Below are 17,308 nucleotides of genomic sequence, written 5' to 3' on the forward strand. Positions count from 1 at the left end.
ATGAAAGCCCAAAATGTAAACATTCTCAAGTCAGTCATTGACTGTTTCACCCACATTTTTAAAAGTTGATGCATCTGAGTTAGTCAAATAATTTTCACTGGATATGGGCATACCTAGAGCTCATGCTCTTCTCTGAACACATTCTGCCTCATGCCTCAGTGTCTTTTTCCCTGTTAATTCCCCTGCCAATGACTCCTTCTTCAACTTCTTCCCCTGCTAACTGCTGATGCACTTTATTTTATTTTTATTTATTTATTTATTTTTGAGATGGATTCTCACCCTGTCGCCCATGCTGGAATGCAATGGCATGATCTCAGCTCACTGCAACCTCCGCCTCCTGAGTTCAAGCGATTCTCCTGCCTCAGCCTCCCAAGTAGCTGGGATTACAGGCGCATACTACCACACCCAGTTAATTTGTTGTACCTTTAGTAGAGACAGGGTTTCACCATGTTGGCCAGGCTGGTGTTGAACTCCTGGCCTCATGATCCACCCGCCTTGGCCTCCCAAAGTGCTGGGATTACAGATGTGAGCCACCGCACCCGGCCCTACATGCACTTTAAAACCAGGACAAACATCTCCTTCTTCAAGAAGCCATGGTAATGAAACCATGCTGGGTTAGCGAGCCCCCTCTGAGCCCACATGTGCCCTGAGCTACCCTCTCTCCTAGCACTCATCTGCTTTTCGTCTGTTGACATATCTGTTTTCCTGGCTGAACCGTGAGCCACTGGAGGTCCTGAAACACATGATATGCACTGTTGTCATCCCACAGCTCACCTTAAAATCTTACACATGTGGTAAGAAACTCAGCAGACATGCAGTATATAAAGTAATGAATGCATTGGTAATTGATTGGTAATTGATGCGTAAATGAATGAATGATTCATTGTAGAAGGTATTTTAGGAAACTTCCCTGTCCACTCAGGAAATTTCTCCTAAGAACACTTCCCCATGAAAAAGGTCATAGTTTCTGAATTGTGGGTGCAACTGAATTGAGGAAGAGACTGGCTGGTATTTAGCAAGCATTTCTCTTTTCCTCCTGTGTGCCTCAGCAGACGACATGCCCCAGTCTCCCCTGTGTGACTGTCACTAGGTGTTGGTGGAAATGAATTAGCAATCTCCAGGCCTGGCCCATAAAATCCTCCCACAGGGTTCTCCACTCTCTTTTCCTTTACTTATTATTGCACCCCAAGAATTTGGTAGAAGATTCTGAAACTAAAGGATGGAAGAGCCATGGGATTCACACGTGACCACTGAATGGCTGTGTGGATCAGAACTCCCCACAGCAAGACTCCCATAGACCTAGTGTCCATGAGATATGAACTTTTACTGTGTTAAGCCTCTGAAATTTTAGAATCATCTGGTACCACAATGAGACTCATAATTCAAGACTGCTTAGACCTATCGCTCTGCCGATTGAAAGTCAGTGTCTCCCACCACTTCATTTAATGGTAAGTATTTATTAAGTACCGATTATATGACAACTACTTCAATGTAACAGTTAAGAGTCATAGAAATGGCTGGGTGCACTGGTTCTATCTTCTCTCACACCTGTAATCCCAGCACTTTGGGAGGCCGAGGCAGGTATTACAAGACCAGGAGTTCAAGACCAGCCTGGCCAACATAGTGAAACCCCATCTCTACTAAAAATATACAAAACAAAATTAGTCGGGCATGGTGGTGCATCCCTGTAGTCCCAGCTACTCTGGAGGCTGAGGCAGGAGAATCACTTGAACCCAGGAGGTTGAAGTTGCAGTGAGCTGAGATCGCACCACTGCACTCCAGCTTGGGCAACAGAGTAAGATTTCGAAAAAAAAAAAAAAAAGTCCTAGAACCTTTAGTCAAATGGAACACGATGAGCTGAGAAACATGGAAGTGGACTGAGGTAACCGGAGATGCTTATAATCAATTTTTCCACGTTCTCTTTCAAACGGCAACTCGTGGCACCCACAGTTTTCTTGGACAAGCACTCACCTTGGTTCCTAGGGGTCCAGGGAGTCCAGGTGATCCACGGAGTCCCTGGAGAAATAAATAATACAAGGACAATCATGGAGCTGAGAGTGAACACTGACCCATCCACCACGTGCCAGGCTGACTGCATCCTCTGCTGGGGACCCAGAGATGGGTGAGACTCACTATGACCTGACTTGCACAAAAGAAACAGAATCTGGTTTTGAGCCACAAGGCCCTGGATGTGAATTCCGACTCTGCCTCCTACTGTCTCTGTGTGGCCTTCAGGAAATCTCTTAGCCTCTCTCAGTTTGCTTTCCCATTGAAGAGCCTTATTGTATAGACTTGCGCAAGTAAGGGGCAAGGCCTCGTTTCAAAGCAGGCTTTGAAACCTTCACTTCAGGCTGAAGGGCTTTGGCACTCACAGCCACAATGAAAACCATGATTCTACGTTTGGAAGTCTTGGCTGAAAGCACCAGAGTAGACCAGAAGTCCTTCTTTACGCATACCACACTTGTCCTGAGCTGTGGGGATGTGTTTGCCTGACTGTCTCTCCATGAGATGGGAGCATCTCCAGGGCGCAGCCTGTCTCATCCATCTCTGTATCCCCAGCACTGGCCCAGGCTGGCATGTGGCCAGCAGTCCATGAGGTTGTGCTGCCCTAGCCTGAACCCCTTTCCCAACCAGGCCCATTTCATTGGCCACGGTTCAATTTCTGCAAAGTTTGGCAGTTAGATTTTTTTCCTTTTCCTTCTCTAATTTTCACCTGGTTTCTACAGGCACTGGGACCCCCGACCTTCCACTTACCGGCTCTCCATCCTTCCCTTTTCCGGGTGGCCCAGGGAGCCCAGGAGCACCAGGATCTCCCCTGGGACCAACTGGCCCTGGGCTGCCTTCTTCCCCCGCTGCACCCTGGAAAGAAAAGTAGACATTTCCCAGGGTCAATTACACTCAGCACGAAGCTTTTCTATGGGGGAGCAGCTTGAGTAGGTTTGTAGGTTTCCTGGGGCTGCCTTTATGATTTTAGAAGGCCCATGCTTTCTGGGACACAGAAAGATGGACTGTGTAATGTGTGTTATAGGTTACATTGTGTTCCCCAAAATTCGTGTCTTGAAGTCCTAACCCCTACTACTTCAATGCACAGATGTGATTAAAGTTAGGATGAGGTCATACTGGAGTGTGACCCTCCCCAATGGTCCTAATCCAATATGAGTAGCGTCTTTTAAAGAAGGAAGCATTTGGACATACATGCATAGAGGCAAGAGGACACAAATACACAGGGACAAGACACCACCAATGAGCCAAGGAGAGAGGCCTGGAACAAATGCTTCCTTCACAGCCCTGAGAAGGAGCCAGTCCTGCCAACACCTTGACTGAGGACTTCCAGCCTCCAAAACTGGGAGAAAGTACATTTTTGGCTGTTTAGGCCACCCAGTTCATGATACTTTGTTACTGCAGCCTTAGTCAATCAACTCAATGCAAAACATGGAAAAGGAAAGGACGTTAGTGACGACCTCCCACCCAGTGCGGGCAAATCTATTTCCGGTGCATCTCTTACAGATCAGCCCTCATTTCTGCTTGAACTCCTCTGGGAGCGGAGACCTCACTACCACTCCACACTGGGCATTCCTTTGTCAGGTAGCTCTGTTATGCAACATTTCTTTATACTCAACCTTCTCTGAAATCTTCCCAACATTGGACACTAAGTCTGTTCCCTGGAACCCTGTAGATACAATCCAATCCCTCTTACAGTTAGGTTTTCAACTATAAGAACAGAGCCTAAAGCTGCAATGGAGAGAGCAAGAGAGAGAGAGTGTGAGAGTGCTAGCATGGGCACCGGGGTCGGCTTGAGGACCTGGGCTTTGAGCTTGCTCCAGGCCAGTGCTTCATCTTCTCTGACGACAGGGCTCTGAACAGCCCTTGTGGCGGCCCTGACTGTGGAACACTGGGTTGAGCCCCGCGAACCAGACGGACTCCTTTCCCCAGACTGGGCTGCCCTGGGTGGAAGCTGCAATCACAGTGTTTCCAGACATTCTCAGATGGAGCAGAGGTAAGGTAAGATGAGCCAAGGATATGCAAAGCAAGGATGGAGAGGGCCTCTCTCCAAGCCTGGAGCAGGATCAGCTTCCCCTAGCCGCAGGCCAGCCCCTGGACATGGTGTGAGAGGGAAAAAGTATGCTGTGATGTCCGGGATTTTTACCACTTTGCAGAGCCCTGGAGGTTCCTTTCCAAATCCCGGGCCCGGCCCTCAGCCTGGGCCTCTGCTCAGCCAAGGAAAGGCATTTGGCTCCCTCTAGAGGCTGAATGTGGCAATAGCCCACTGATTTCTGGTTTCTGAACATGCACCTGTTAGTCCTCCTAAGAGGCCATCCCCTTCCAGGTTACCAATGTCCTACTTATAATGTGCCGTCCTTCAGACATGGTATAATTAAGGAATACCAGATGAATCCAGATGTTTTTCCTTTGCTTAATCTAGGCAGTCTGAAATGGCATTATCTTCTTTTCAAAAAATGAATGTTTGTACCTGTATTACATAAGGTTTGTTATTATTATTATTTATTATTATTATTATTTGAGATGGAATCTCACTCTGTCATCCAGACTGGAGTGCAGTGATGTGATCTCAGCTCAAGGCAACCTCCGCTTCCCAGGTTCAAGCGATTCTTGTGCCTCAGCTTCCCAAGTAGCTGGGATTACAGGCATGTGCCACCATACCCAACTAATTTTTGTATTTTTAGTAGAGATGGGGTTTCACCATGTTGGCCAGGCCCGTCATGAACTCCTGACCTCAAGTGACCTGCCTGCCTTGGCCTCCGAAAGTACTGGGATTACAGGCGTGAGCCACCACGCCCGGCCCATAGGGTTATTATTAAGCCTATGATCAACACTCCAAAAACCCAAGAGAGTCTTCATAGATGTGTTGATCATTTTTCTCTGCACTAAGTTCTTTTTTTCTGGGAGACGTGTATCTTAAAATTGAACCTTCCTGCAAAAAGGCAAATGACATCTCCTCGTGTTAAATTATGCAAAAACATAAGAACTGAAGTGATTCTTTAAAAGGCACCAAGTAGATGAACTTGAACTTGAAAGAATTCATGTTAAGAAGTTTGGCCAGGTGTGTGCTAGGAGGGACCTCTGTGGACAATCCATGCCCCAATATCGTCTCTTCCTGTCCATGGATACTAGTGTGATCTGCTCACGCAGGGAGGGCAGGACACAACCACATGGTACCCTTGTCACCTGTTATCTGCTGAGTCCTTTGCACATGACTCCCCAATTCCTCAGCTAATCCTCACAACCTATGATCAATGCGGCATCACCCTCATTTTACAGATGAGAAAATCCAGGTTCAAAGAGAGTGTGCTTTATTTAGATCAGGGTTTCTCAACCTTGGCACTATTGACCTTCAGGGAGGATCGTTCTTATAAGGGGAATGTCTCATGTGCTGTGAGGTTTTTAGCAGGTTCTCTGGTCTCTACCCACTGATGCCAGGAGCAGTTACTCCCCTTAGTGGTGACAACAAAAAATATCTCCCTGGGTAAAAACCCCCTGTTGAGAATCACTTTTGTCACCCTAGCTTATATCAATGCAACTAGGGCAAGAGAGCTGGCATTTGACTCAGGTCCAAACGCTGAATCATTCAAATGAGTACGTCTGATTTCCTGAGCCCTGGCTCAGTGTCACCAATTAACCTCAGAGACATTTCCTAAGGTGCTATGTCAGAGAAATGCAGAATGGAACTTAAAAGGGTGTAGATTCTCCTTCTTGGCCTCTGGGTTTTTTTTTTTTTTAATTGGTATGGGAACATGTGTCTCTCTTATTAATAATTAAAATCTCAGGCTGGGTTCAGTGGCTCACACCTGTAATCCCAGCACTTTGGGAGGCCAAGGCGGGTGGATCACTTGAGTCCAGGAGTTTGAGACCAGCCTGAGCAACATGGTAAAACCCCGTCTCTGCAAAAAATACAAAAATTAGCCAGGCATGGTGGCGCACACCTGTAATCCCAGCTACTCAGGAGGCTGAGACATGAGAATTGCTTGAACCCGGGAGGCAGAGGTTGTAGTGAGTGGAAATCACACCACTGCACTCCAGCCTCAGTGGCAGAGTGAGACCCTGTCTCAAGAAAAAAAAAAAATCTCATAGCTTGGGAAGGTTTACGTGTGTGAGCATAGGTGTATAATGGATAAGTTGGTGCACTGAATTGAGAGAAAACAGGATTTGGAGTCAGACAGACCTAGCTCTGTAGCTTATTTGCTATGAGACACAGAGCAAACTAATTAACTTCTCAGAGCCTCAGTCTCCACATCTGTCTAATGGGCACTTGTCTGATTCTCAGGTCTGTTGTGAGGAATAAATGAGCCAATGGGATGGCACAGTCTTCCTCTCCCTCCTACTTAGTAAACCCCTTCTGATTGCTGGTTCCTAAACCAGGCCCGAGCAGAGTGAGCTGCTCCTTCAGTGCCTGTAAGAAGTTAAGGATATTCACTTGTGTGCTGAGAGATCATATTGGTCTTACCTTCTCACCACGCTCCCCATCTTTCCCTGGGGTGCCTCTGAGGCCGGGAGCACCCTGTGGCAAGGAAGATTACGGACATGGTGAATTTAAAGATGACTGGTCACTCTTGGTGGCTCGTGACCCCCAGGGAAGAATCATCAGGTCCCCCTGAAGTCAACGACTACAGCTCCCACCCAATTCCCATACTTTATTTAAATTCCCCAAAGCTCCACCTCCTCCCTGCCCATGACTGCTGCTCTCCCGGGGGGGGGGCTGGCCTTGTAACAGTGCACATCAGAGCTCTTAACAGCAGGCATGGTCTGCTGGAAGCTTTACCGCCTGCTCTGGAATGTGAACTATCAGAAGGCGTGGCCTGGCACAGTGAACACTCTGGGAAGATGAGGATGGCCTTAAGAACCCAGCCTTAGCATTGGGGCATCTGCTCCAACAGTGTCTTTGGAGTCCCCAAAAGGTTGACTTTGAGACATGGTTTAAGTGCAAGCGTCCCATGGATGCAATAGTAGGGAAACAGAGAAGCAAAAAGGGGAGAACACTCATGCCTGTAATCCCAGCACTCTGCAAGGCCAAGGCAGACGGATCACTTGAGGTCAGGAGTTCAAGACCAGCCTGGCCAACATGGTGAAACCCCATCTCCACTAAAATACAAAAATTAGCTGGGCATGGAGGCACGCCCCTGTAATCCTAGCTACTTGGGAAGCTGAGGCAAGAGAATCACTTGAACCCAGGAGGCGGAGCTTGCAGTGAGCCAAGATCATGCCACTGCACCCCAGCCTGGGTGACAGAGCTAAACTCCACCTCAAAAAATAAAAATAAAAATAAATAAAGCAGGGGAGAACAGGCAGCAAGAAATACACTTGCTGGCCACTGGAGCTCTGTCCTGCTGTGACTCTGGGATCCTGTGCAGGACGTACGCTCAGAGCGATGACAGCTGAGAACAAGTGATCTGAGCTATTCTGCTGGTGGTGCTGCTGGCCACCCATCACGTGGCTCAACAACATACTCTTTAGAGGCCAGAGAAGACTCCCAGCCAGAAGAATGCAGGCTGGGCTGCAGGAAGCCTCCATGTAAAATAATAATATTCCTCCAGCAGGGTTGCTGTGTGGATTAAATGAATGAACACATATTCCTCCAGCAGGGTTGCTGTGCAGAGTAAATGAATGAACACATGTAATGTGCTTAGTACCATGCCTGGCATGTATAAAGGCTCAGTCCTCTAAGCTACTATGCTTATTACCTATAAAGGCTTGATGAAGAAACAAGACTGACCTAAATCTATTGTAGGGGAAAAACGCTTTGTTGCCCTTGACTAGATGTCATGGAGTGTTTTGTTGAACAATGTTCAAGTCTAAATTGGTGTTTATGGTGAATCTTAAAGCTGGTCCTTTAGCGGACACCTTGGGCCTCGACATGGAAAAGGCAGAATCTCGTCAGGCCAAAAAAGATGCAACCCTAAAGGTGAAGCAGCCAAGCTATTGTCTCCATTTTGCAGATGAACTAGCCGAGACCTCAAGGAGGGGCTTGCCAAGATGGTCATGTCAATTAATAAAAGAGCTGGATTCGAATCCAGGTCCCCCAATAGCCGTCAGGGGACCTTTGACTTCTTTAGGTTCATTTTCTTTCTTCTGAAGCAAACTAGGGTGTTGATTCCAACACCAGTGAAATGTACAGACTTTCTGCAGATGCCAACAGCTGCGTTTACCCTCTGGATAGCTGGCGAGTTGCCTAGGGCTCAGGTGTGTGAACTTTCTGGGTGGTCTATGTCAGGACAGCAGTGTCTCCGTCTGGAAAATGGGAGTAAGGATCCTCCCCTTACTCCCATGTATCCTACGCCTCTGGCTTTTGGGGAGGATACATTAACTAGCTTGGTGGCTGGGCCGTGCGTATGCCCTCTCCCAATTACTCACCACACTTCCTGGAGGGCCACTGGGACCGGGGGCACCGACATGTCCGGGAGCACCCTGTTCAGAGACAGAAGTTTAGAAAGGCCAAACGCATTGATTAGAAGTAGTTGCCCCCACTCTCTCTGCAAATCTGCCTCATACTCAATTCACCGCAATGTGCTGGAACTGCTGCTGACCTGACAGCCTCTGCAGACGTGAACCTCCTCTCCGGAGGGCTGTGGTGTCCCAAGCACCAAGCCTCAGGTGAGTGGGCTTCTGGCACAGAGGTGAAAGGCAGGAGGGCAGGAGGACTCTGGAAGTTCCTTAGAGCTAAGGCACAGGGGTGTGGAGGAGCCTGGGTGTGGGCAGAGAAGGGCTGGGACCTAACCACAGAAGAGGATTTCAGGTGAGGTTTGGCCTTATCCTAAGTGCATGAGGAAAAGGAAACATTGAAAAATGAACAGTTCAGATCTCAGTTGCATATGTATGTGTATGTGTGCACGTGCGTGTGTGCAGGTTTGTGGAAGCGTATGTGTGTGCATGCGTGTGTGCACGTTTGTGGAGATGTGTGTATGCATGTGCATGTGTGCATGTTTGTGGAGGTATGTGTATGTGTGCACGTCCATGTGTGCACGTTTGTGAAGGTGTGTGTATGTGTGTACGTCCGTGTGTGCATGTTTGTGGAGGTATGTGTATGTGTGCACGTCCATGTGTGCATATTTGTGAAGGTGTGTGTATGTGTGTATGTCCGTGTGTGCATGTTTGTGGAGGTGTATGTGTGCGTGTGCATTTGTGAAGGTGTGTGTGCATGCATGTGTGCACGTTTGTGGAGGTGTATGTGTGCACGTGCGTGTATGCATGTTTGTGGGGGTGTGTATATGTGTACAGTGCATGTGTGCATATTTGTGGAGGTGTGTTTATGTGTGTACATGTGAGTGTGCATGTTTGTGGAGGTGTGTATATGTGTACACGTAAGTGTGTGCATGTTTGTGGAGGTGTGTGTGTGTACGTGTGTGTGCATGTTTGTGGAGGTGTGTGTATGTGGAGGTGTGTGTGCACGTGCGTGTGTGCATGTTTGTGGAGGTGTATGTGTGGAGGTGTATGTGTGCACGTGCATGTGTGCATGTTTGTGGAGGTGTGTGTACGTGTGTGCATGTTTGTGGAGGTGCATGTGTGGAGGTGTGTGTATGTGTGCACGTGCATGTGTGCATGTTTCTGGAGGTGTATGCATGCGCGTGCATTTGTGAAGGTGTGTGTGTGCGCGCACGTTTGTGGAGGTGTATGTGTATACGTGCATGTGTACACGTTTGTGGAGGTGTGTGTATGTGTGTACGTGTGTGCATGTTTGTGGTGGTATGTGTATGTGTGGAGGTGTGTGTGTATGTGTGCACGTGCATGTGTGCATGTTTGTGGAGGTGTATGTGTGCACGTGCATGTGCATGTTTGTGGACGTATGTGTGCGTGTGTGCATGTTTGTGTGCACATGCATGTGTGCATGTTTGCGGAGGTGTATGTGTGTGCATGCGTGTGCATGTTTGTGGATGTGTGTATGTGTGCACATGTGTGCATGTTTGTGGACATGTGTATTGTGCACGTATGTACATGTGTGTGTATGTGTGTGTGCACGTACGTGTGTGCATGTGTGTGGAGGTGTGTGTGTGAGTGCATGTGTGTGTGTGTGTGTGTGTGTGTGTGTGTGTGTGTGTGTGTGTGTTGGCTTTGACTGGAAAATCAGGTAAGAAGTGGATTTGAACTAGAACTTGATGGCCGGGCAATGATCCATGACAGGAGATGTGGGTGAGGACATTCCAGGTGGGTCAACTCTATAGGTGCAGAGAAGCAGGGAACTCTCACGGCCTTGGAGGCTGCCCATGTTTCCTCCAGGCCTTGTTCCCCACTGTCCCCGGGTTTTGCACATCTCCAGGGTCAGGACTCACGGAGAACACTCCCAGCTTCCTCCTTGCCTACACTCTGCTTCCATTCCCCTCCAGGCTGAGCTGGAACCAGGGCTCTCTCCACAAGCAGGGAGGAGTTGCCATCTGTCCCCACTGTGGCATCCACACTGGTCACTACCTTGGCAGACCCAGTTCCAACCTGACCATACGCATGGTGGCCTGGTCATATCAGCACCCTCTACCTGGTACAGGGCACCCGGCAGTGGTGCTAGGAGCAGACCAGACGTGTGCTGCTGCTGCTCCTCTTGCCACCACTGCTCCCCAGAGACCCGGGGATAAGTCAGCCCGTCCTGCCTTCCGCCAGCTCCACAGTCCAGCCTGAGCTCTCTGGCTCCGCACCATGAGACAGAGCCCAAATCAGCTCCAGGAACAAGTGCCAGCCCCACGGGGATCAAATACACCCTGGATCTGGCCCCAAGGATGGGTGAGCCAGGAGCAGCTGAGGAGTGTGCATAGAGGTGTCTGTATGTTTTCCTGGCTGCATCTGTGTGTTTGGGGCTGTGTGTGTGTGTGTGCACCTGTGCATGCATGTATTATAGGATGTGTGTTCTCTGGTTTGTAGAGTACATGTACGTGGTTGTGCATGTAAGCACACTTCTTGGAGTAACAACCTCACCTGCGAGGGGAGGTCTGTGTGTGTCTCATCCACATGTGCATAGAAAGAGATTTCTTTCATTCGCTGGGCATGTGGACAAAGTCAAGAAATGCTACGAAGGTGGTGGAGGCCAGAACCTCTCTCCGTGCTGACTCCCACCAACCACTCAAGTGTGGGTGAACCTTCTGGGCCACGTCCTCCTAGCTAGCCCAGAGCTGTGAGCCATAGAGCAGAGCAGACACTGGGCGGGGCCTCCCTCCGGGGCTCCCCCACGAGGCAGGCCGATCATAGGGACTCACGGGGTTTCCAGCTGCTCCAGGAGCCCCATGTGCACCTTCCTGTCCCTTGGCACCCTGCACAGGAAATAAAAGAGGGGCGGGGGTAAGACACCCTCAGTGATGCTGTTTCCCCTCACAGCAGGGAGGTCTCGGGAATACCGTGCTCATCAGAAGCATTATTCCAAACTGAAGGGGCCCGGGAGCACCGTCTAAAAGGTGAAGAAAATCACTACTTTCTGGCCCTCTGTTGGAGATGGTCATATCGCGATTTCATTCCATCCTCACCACCTACCCAGGGTATAGGGGTCAGCACCGACCCTCTGTAGAAATGTAGCTCAGAGGGGCTCACACAGCCAGGCAAGGTCCCCAGTCACCCCAGCAGGATCTCCTACCATAGCACAGAGTCTCCCAGAGAACCAAGATCCAGTGCAGAGGCAAACACCGAGCAAAATGACAGAATCAAAGCACTAACATGTACCAGGTGTCACTTAAACCAGCACTGCCACTCCATGACTGGGATCCATTTCCTGTTCTGCAAATCCTCTGGGAACCAAGGTGCCCCCTATGTGCAGAGGCCCTTGCTCTCCAGATCCCGCTGAGCAGGAGAAGGGAGAGCACGGCAGAAACCTGCAGCTCACCTACACCAACCCTTTAGTGACAGAGTAGGGACATCCAGGGGTACAGAGGTGGGGCCTGGCCCCATGGCTGTGTCTGGGGCGTTTAGTGAGGGCCACTCAGCCTCTGCAGCACATTGGGGCTGCTCTGCCCAGCGTCTACTCCCAAAATGCCAGGGGAGAGAACTGGGGAGGGTGGCCTGGAGCGAGAGAGTGTGGCTGGGATCTCCAAGTCTCTGAGCCAGCAGGGGAAGGGATGGTTTTCTTACCGGTGGTCCAGTGGGTCCCTGAGGCCCCAATTCTCCAGGACGGCCCTGCAGTCCCTGTAAGCACACAAGTTGCCATGAACCAGCTCATCCTCCTGGTTCTGAGCAGATGGGCGGATGGGGCGGGGACGTTGCAATGGGTATAATTTGAGATCCAAGGAGGGGACGTAGCTAGCGTCCTGAGGAGAAGAAAGGGCTGCCTTCCATTCAGTGTGGCTCCTGGGTGTGGAATGCACGGTGCAGATCTACAGCTGGTCAGCCTTTGGAGTCCGGGTCTCCAGGTAACCAGCCCTGCGGGGGAAGGGGACACAAGAGACTCACCGGTTCCCCAGGCAGGCCTGGATCGCCCTTCTCTCCTTTGGGCCCTTGTTCTCCCTGTTGGTGAGAAGCATAGGGTAGAGTGGACTTCAGGGAGAACTGCCCCTCGTCACAGGGTACATGTCCCCAGCTCCGGACACACAGGCCACCTCCAGTCCTGTGTATCACCTGATAGGTCCCCACCCCCAAAGGCTGTTCCCTCTGCCTGGGGGTTCTTCCCTCCTACTCCCCAGGACTGATTCTGACTCATCTTTCAGGTCAGGAATCACTTCTTCTGGGAAGCTGAACCCCAAAATGGGCCCAACCCTCCTGTTACAGCAGGTCAGTGTACTGTGCCTTTCTCCTCCTGAGCCCTGTTATGGCCGCAGTTTTACACTTAGTTGTGTGGTTTGATTCATCTCCCCTCCAGCTCAGAGCCTGGCACATGGTAGATCATCAGTGAATGATGGAAAGAGTTTTGAGAGGAGGAAGGGTCTTTAAGGGCCCCTGGCCCAAACACTACTTTTTCTCCCTCTCTTTCTCTCTCTCCCTCCCTTCCTCTCTCTCTTTCTAGTAGAGATGGGGTCTCATTATACTGCCCAGACCTTTCTTGAAATCCTGGGCTCAAGCGATCCTCCCTGCACAGCCTCCTGTGTACCTGCCTCCTGGAACTACAGGTCCTCACCATCGTGCCTGGCTCCAACCCCTTTCTAGATAGAGAAGCTGGGGAGGGGTGCTTAACTAAGGGAACCCAGACCTTTGGGGACAGACTGGGGGTTGAACCCTAGACTCTGGGTGGTCAGAATGGTGTGTCTAACTTTTGCTGAAGAAAGGATGAGACACAGGCTGGACAGGCAGTACCCTGGGTGGGCCCAGTATGGAATGATCCAAGATGGGGCAGGCTCACTTCCAGGGAGCCACATCCAGGGTGCCCAACACATCTCCCAGGAGGGTTGAAGGGACATGTGATCCTCAGCCTGCAATTCATATGGAACAAGGAGAAGATGAGCAGATGGGGGACTACAGTGAGGACAGCTTTCCAAGGGCTCAAGGGCGTATCTTTCCACAGCTGAAGGGCCACTGTGCAGGAGAGGAGTGGGGCCAGTGAACCAGTGTGGACACAGTCTCAGCTTCAGACCCATACAGCCTGTCTTGGGAGCCCTGGCCCTCTAACTTATTGGCCATATAAACTTGGGCAAAGTAGTTACCCATACGGACCCCATATGACTTTTGCAGTTTCCATATCTGCAAAATAAAGAGGTGGTCCCCTTTTCACATAGGGTGAAGGTCAATGGTACAGAGAAGGTGCAGCAGAGGCAAGACATCAAAGAGAAACAGCACAGGTTTGCAGAGTTCTCCAGGACGGCAGATAACAACCAGAGCACGTGTACCCAGAAAGGCAGTATGCAACCCTTCTCAAGGAGCAGAACCTGCTACTGTCCCAAATCCCCACAGCCTGCTTAGGGGGACATCGGGCTCCCCTGCCACAGATAAGCCCAAGGAGAGCTGGGATGAGCATCTGCCTTGGGTGTAGAAGGGAGTCCTACATGGATGGGGTGTTTGCAAGACACGGCTTTAGAGAGCAGGAGATGAAGGGAGGGCCATGGATGCATCTGGAAGAAAGAGTCTAATGTCTACATTAGAGAACCTGAGTAGTTCTAACCTTTACTTGGTGGAGAAATCAGCATAGAAAGACACTATCTACTAAGGGTTTCATGCTACTTTCTCTCTCTATGTCTCTGCAAATGTTAGAGGCCTTGCAGCCATGGTTTCTACCTGCCCTCCCTTCCCAAGCCTCTCTCTGATACGGCAGTTGGAGACCACATGGCCTGCGGCTGTCTTCCTCACTCAGCATCACCTATTGCATGGAACCGACATGGTCTACCTCGTACAGCTGTGACCTGGATTCAGTGAGATTGCGTTTGCAAAGTGTTTCACAGTGACCAATACAGAGGAGGTTTCAACGGATGCCAGCTCATTCCTCTGCCTAGAATCTCCATTGCCATTGAGCTCAGAAGGAGACATGTCTAGCCCCATTCACCACAGACAATAATACCATTATTTCTAGCATGTTTTCCTCCTAGAAAACTACCCATGGTGGGGATTTGCAAGTCTTTTTCTGGTCCTCCAGTCATTGGCAACACAATTCATAAAGACAAAAGGGCTTATGGGATTGTTTCAGGAGACACACAGGGAAGACATTTGTACAGTCTTCTTCCAGTGTTGGTGAACGGGACTGCAGTGGCAGGAAGACAAAGTGAGGACCTACGGAGGGTCAGAAAGGGCCAGAGAAGGACTCCAGATGCTCAAGAGATTCCTGCCCCAGAGCCTAGGAGTCAGGAGGCAGCACCTTCCCTCCAGGGGCCCCCTGGAAGGGCTCTGTCAGTAGCTGTTGAATGTGTAAGTTTGGCTGGCTTCCATCTCCTCCCCACTGCCCCCTGGTGACCTCAGCCAAGTTAAACACCATCTCTGGGACTCATGATCATCTCTGCAGGCTTTGGTCATTGCCTGGGCATCCTGAAGCCTCCTTAGCAGGGTGAGGGGGTAGAATCAGGCCGGTTGGACAGAGCCTTCCTAAGATAACTGCTTTGGAACAACTGATGAGCCTCCAGTTACAAAACCCTGCTTGAGTTCTCCACTGTAACTTCCCCAAGCACCAAGCTGCCTGTCCCTCCTTCCTCCAGCAAAGGTTCTGACATCTGCAGACCCCAGGGATATGCACACCATCAAACAGCCTGCTCTGTCCTCTGCAAACCACCAGCACCCTGTCACCTCATCAGGTGCAGCCACCAGCCATCCCCAGGAGCCTCCTCAGTCCCAGAGAGGGTGACAAAATGAGTCGGGCTTCTCCCTCCACCCCCTCATCTCCTTTCCATTCTCTTCCTTCATTATGCGGCAGACCTTAACACCCCTCTAAATTGCTCTCTCCCCAGCCTCTTCCTGCACTGCAGGGGCTCAAAGGCATGTGCCTGAGCAGAGCAGGGAGAAGTCAAACAGAATAACACTTTCCAAATCCATCAATACAAACATGGGTTGCCATGGTGACGAAGCCAGTCCCGGGGAGACTCAGGCAATTGCCCACAATGAAACTTTTTTTTTCCATAGACATAATTTCCTTGTTTGCATCTGAGAGTGGCTTCCTGGCTCCCAGGCTCCCGCAGCAATGCAGAGCCTGCAGGAAGGATGTCAGTGCTGGGACTCAAGGTGGAGGGCGGCACAGGCCCCTCACGTGCCTTCCCAGTGGAATGCTCTGGAAGTTGTGTTTTTACAGAGCAATTCCTTTAAGGAGAGGCTGGACATGTAGGCTTGTCTCAACCCCGAGGGGCTCAGGGTGGACCTGAGGGAGGGAGGCCCACAGATGTCAGGGGCAGGGGGAGGCAATACATGGAGGTGGTCCAGGAAAGGCAGGTGACCAGTGGAAGGGACAGGCAGTGTGATGGGAAGCCCCTTGCACAGGACAGCCAGCCGGAACTGAAGCAACGGCGGTACAGACGCTCCATCCAGTGCGCTATGGCTGACACACTAGCCCCTAATTCCTATCTCGCTGGTAGGGCCTTCTTGGCAAGTTCCCTAGCACCTCTGAGCTGCAGGACCGTCACCTGTAAGATGGACACAGGTGCCACTCCCTCAAGGCTGTTAGGAGGCTTGGTTGCAGCAGTGCCAGGAAAACGCCCGGAGCTGAGCTGCTGCATGGGGTGCTCTGTCCTTCCAAGCCCCTCTCTGGGAGAGCAGGTGAGAAGACAGGGTGGCAGAAAGGTAAGGGAGTTCCTCATGCAGTGAGCGACAGCCCTACAGGTGAGGGAGGTGCTGCCTCCTCATGCAGTGAGTGCTGCCCTGCAGGTGAAAGAGGTGCTGTGTCCCTCATGCAGTGAGTACCTGCCATGCAGGTGAGAGAGGTGCTGTGTCCCTCATGCAGTGAGTACCTGCCATGCAGGTGAGAGAGGTGCGGTGTTCCTCATGCAGTAAGTACCCGCCCTGCAGGTGAGAGAGGTGTGGTGTCCTCATGCAGTGAGTACCCGCCCTGCGGGTGAGGGAGGTGCTGTGTCCTCATGCAGTGAGTGCCTGTCTCTGCCAGAGCGGAGCAGAGTTATAAATGTTTTATGTAAAGTGCAAATATCCTGTTATTTGCATTTAATCCTGAAAGTGTATTTTTATTGTCCCAATTTTATAATTGAGAAAACTAGGTCTCAGCGAAGAAACATAAGGAACATTTTCCAGGACAGGAGGGCAGTGAAGCAGTGCCCTCTAGTGGTTGACAGCTCAGTGACAAGAGGGCTCCTTTAACATCAGGGCCTTCTCTCCCTTCAGGAAAGGCTCACAGCCAGAGCCCTGTGCACCTGCTCTTTCCCGCAGACGCCTCTCACCCACTTCTCCCTAAGTCCATGCTGCCCTAGGATGCCCCCATCTCCCCATTATGCTTCCCAAGCACAAAATCCTTCCTTCTCCTGCAGTGATTTTAGCACCTGACTCAGTCTGTCTACCTGCTTCCTTCTTTTGCATCACACGCAGGATTCTTTTAAGCTTTTAAAATGGAATCGACTTAATATTGAATAAATGAAGATAGCAACAGCTGAAATGGACATCTACCTCAGCCTCTCAGCTGTCCCGCAGGTCAAGCCCTAATAGCAGAAGAACTGCATCAAAGGCAGCAAAAGAAACAATGGCATGTTTTCTGGCTTCAGCCTACAGCATAAAGAGATCCTGAAAACACCTATTTTCTGAAGAGCCATTCGTGAAAAGAGAGGAAAAAGGTTTCTAGACGTTGCAGTGCTAAGCTTTATTTCCTGCCAAGTGTTTTTGTGTGTGGAAGTAGCCAGCATCACTCTCTGTCCATCGGCACACCCCAGGCTACATCTCAGGTTCCAGTCCCCAGAACAGCCTGAGAATGGGGTCCCCTCTTGACACCCCTGTCTCTGGTCTCCTTCACTGCCAGCATCCATGGGGAACATCTTTGCCTCTC

The 17,308-nt window shown here is 50.5% G+C and overlaps 1 protein-coding gene across 12 annotated transcripts in view, besides 2 other annotated features; it reads right to left on the reverse strand.

The window, feature by feature from the left end:
* COL22A1 (collagen type XXII alpha 1 chain) overlaps positions 1-17,308 on the reverse strand; it is a 325,807-nt gene that overhangs the window by 94,219 nt on the left and 214,280 nt on the right. For all 12 annotated transcript variants that reach the window (XM_017013150.3, XM_011516886.4, XM_011516884.3 and 9 more), the window contains 7 exons: positions 12,373-12,426; positions 12,055-12,108; positions 11,193-11,246; positions 8,368-8,421; positions 6,464-6,517; positions 2,755-2,859; positions 1,972-2,016 (listed from right to left, as the gene is read on the reverse strand). In XM_017013150.3, the coding sequence (XP_016868639.1) occupies positions 1,972-2,016; positions 2,755-2,859; positions 6,464-6,517; positions 8,368-8,421; positions 11,193-11,246; positions 12,055-12,108; positions 12,373-12,426 (420 nt within the window). The remainder of the gene's footprint in view (positions 1-1,971; positions 2,017-2,754; positions 2,860-6,463; positions 6,518-8,367; positions 8,422-11,192; positions 11,247-12,054; positions 12,109-12,372; positions 12,427-17,308) is intronic.
* Positions 11,658-12,158: an enhancer, noted in NCBI's record as "H3K27ac hESC enhancer chr8:139706354-139706854 (GRCh37/hg19 assembly coordinates)". NCBI's record gives its function as "activates a minimal SCP1, AML or CMV promoter by ChIP-STARR-seq in primed H9 embryonic stem cells {active_cell/tissue: H9 hESC(primed)}" and the evidence as "EXISTENCE:reporter gene assay evidence [ECO:0000049][PMID:30033119]".
* Positions 12,159-12,659: an enhancer, noted in NCBI's record as "H3K27ac hESC enhancer chr8:139706855-139707355 (GRCh37/hg19 assembly coordinates)". NCBI's record gives its function as "activates a minimal SCP1, AML or CMV promoter by ChIP-STARR-seq in primed H9 embryonic stem cells {active_cell/tissue: H9 hESC(primed)}" and the evidence as "EXISTENCE:reporter gene assay evidence [ECO:0000049][PMID:30033119]".

The sequence above is a fragment of the Homo sapiens genome, chromosome 8, assembly GCF_000001405.40.
Source record: "Homo sapiens chromosome 8, GRCh38.p14 Primary Assembly".
Taxonomy (NCBI): Eukaryota; Metazoa; Chordata; class Mammalia; order Primates; family Hominidae; genus Homo; species Homo sapiens.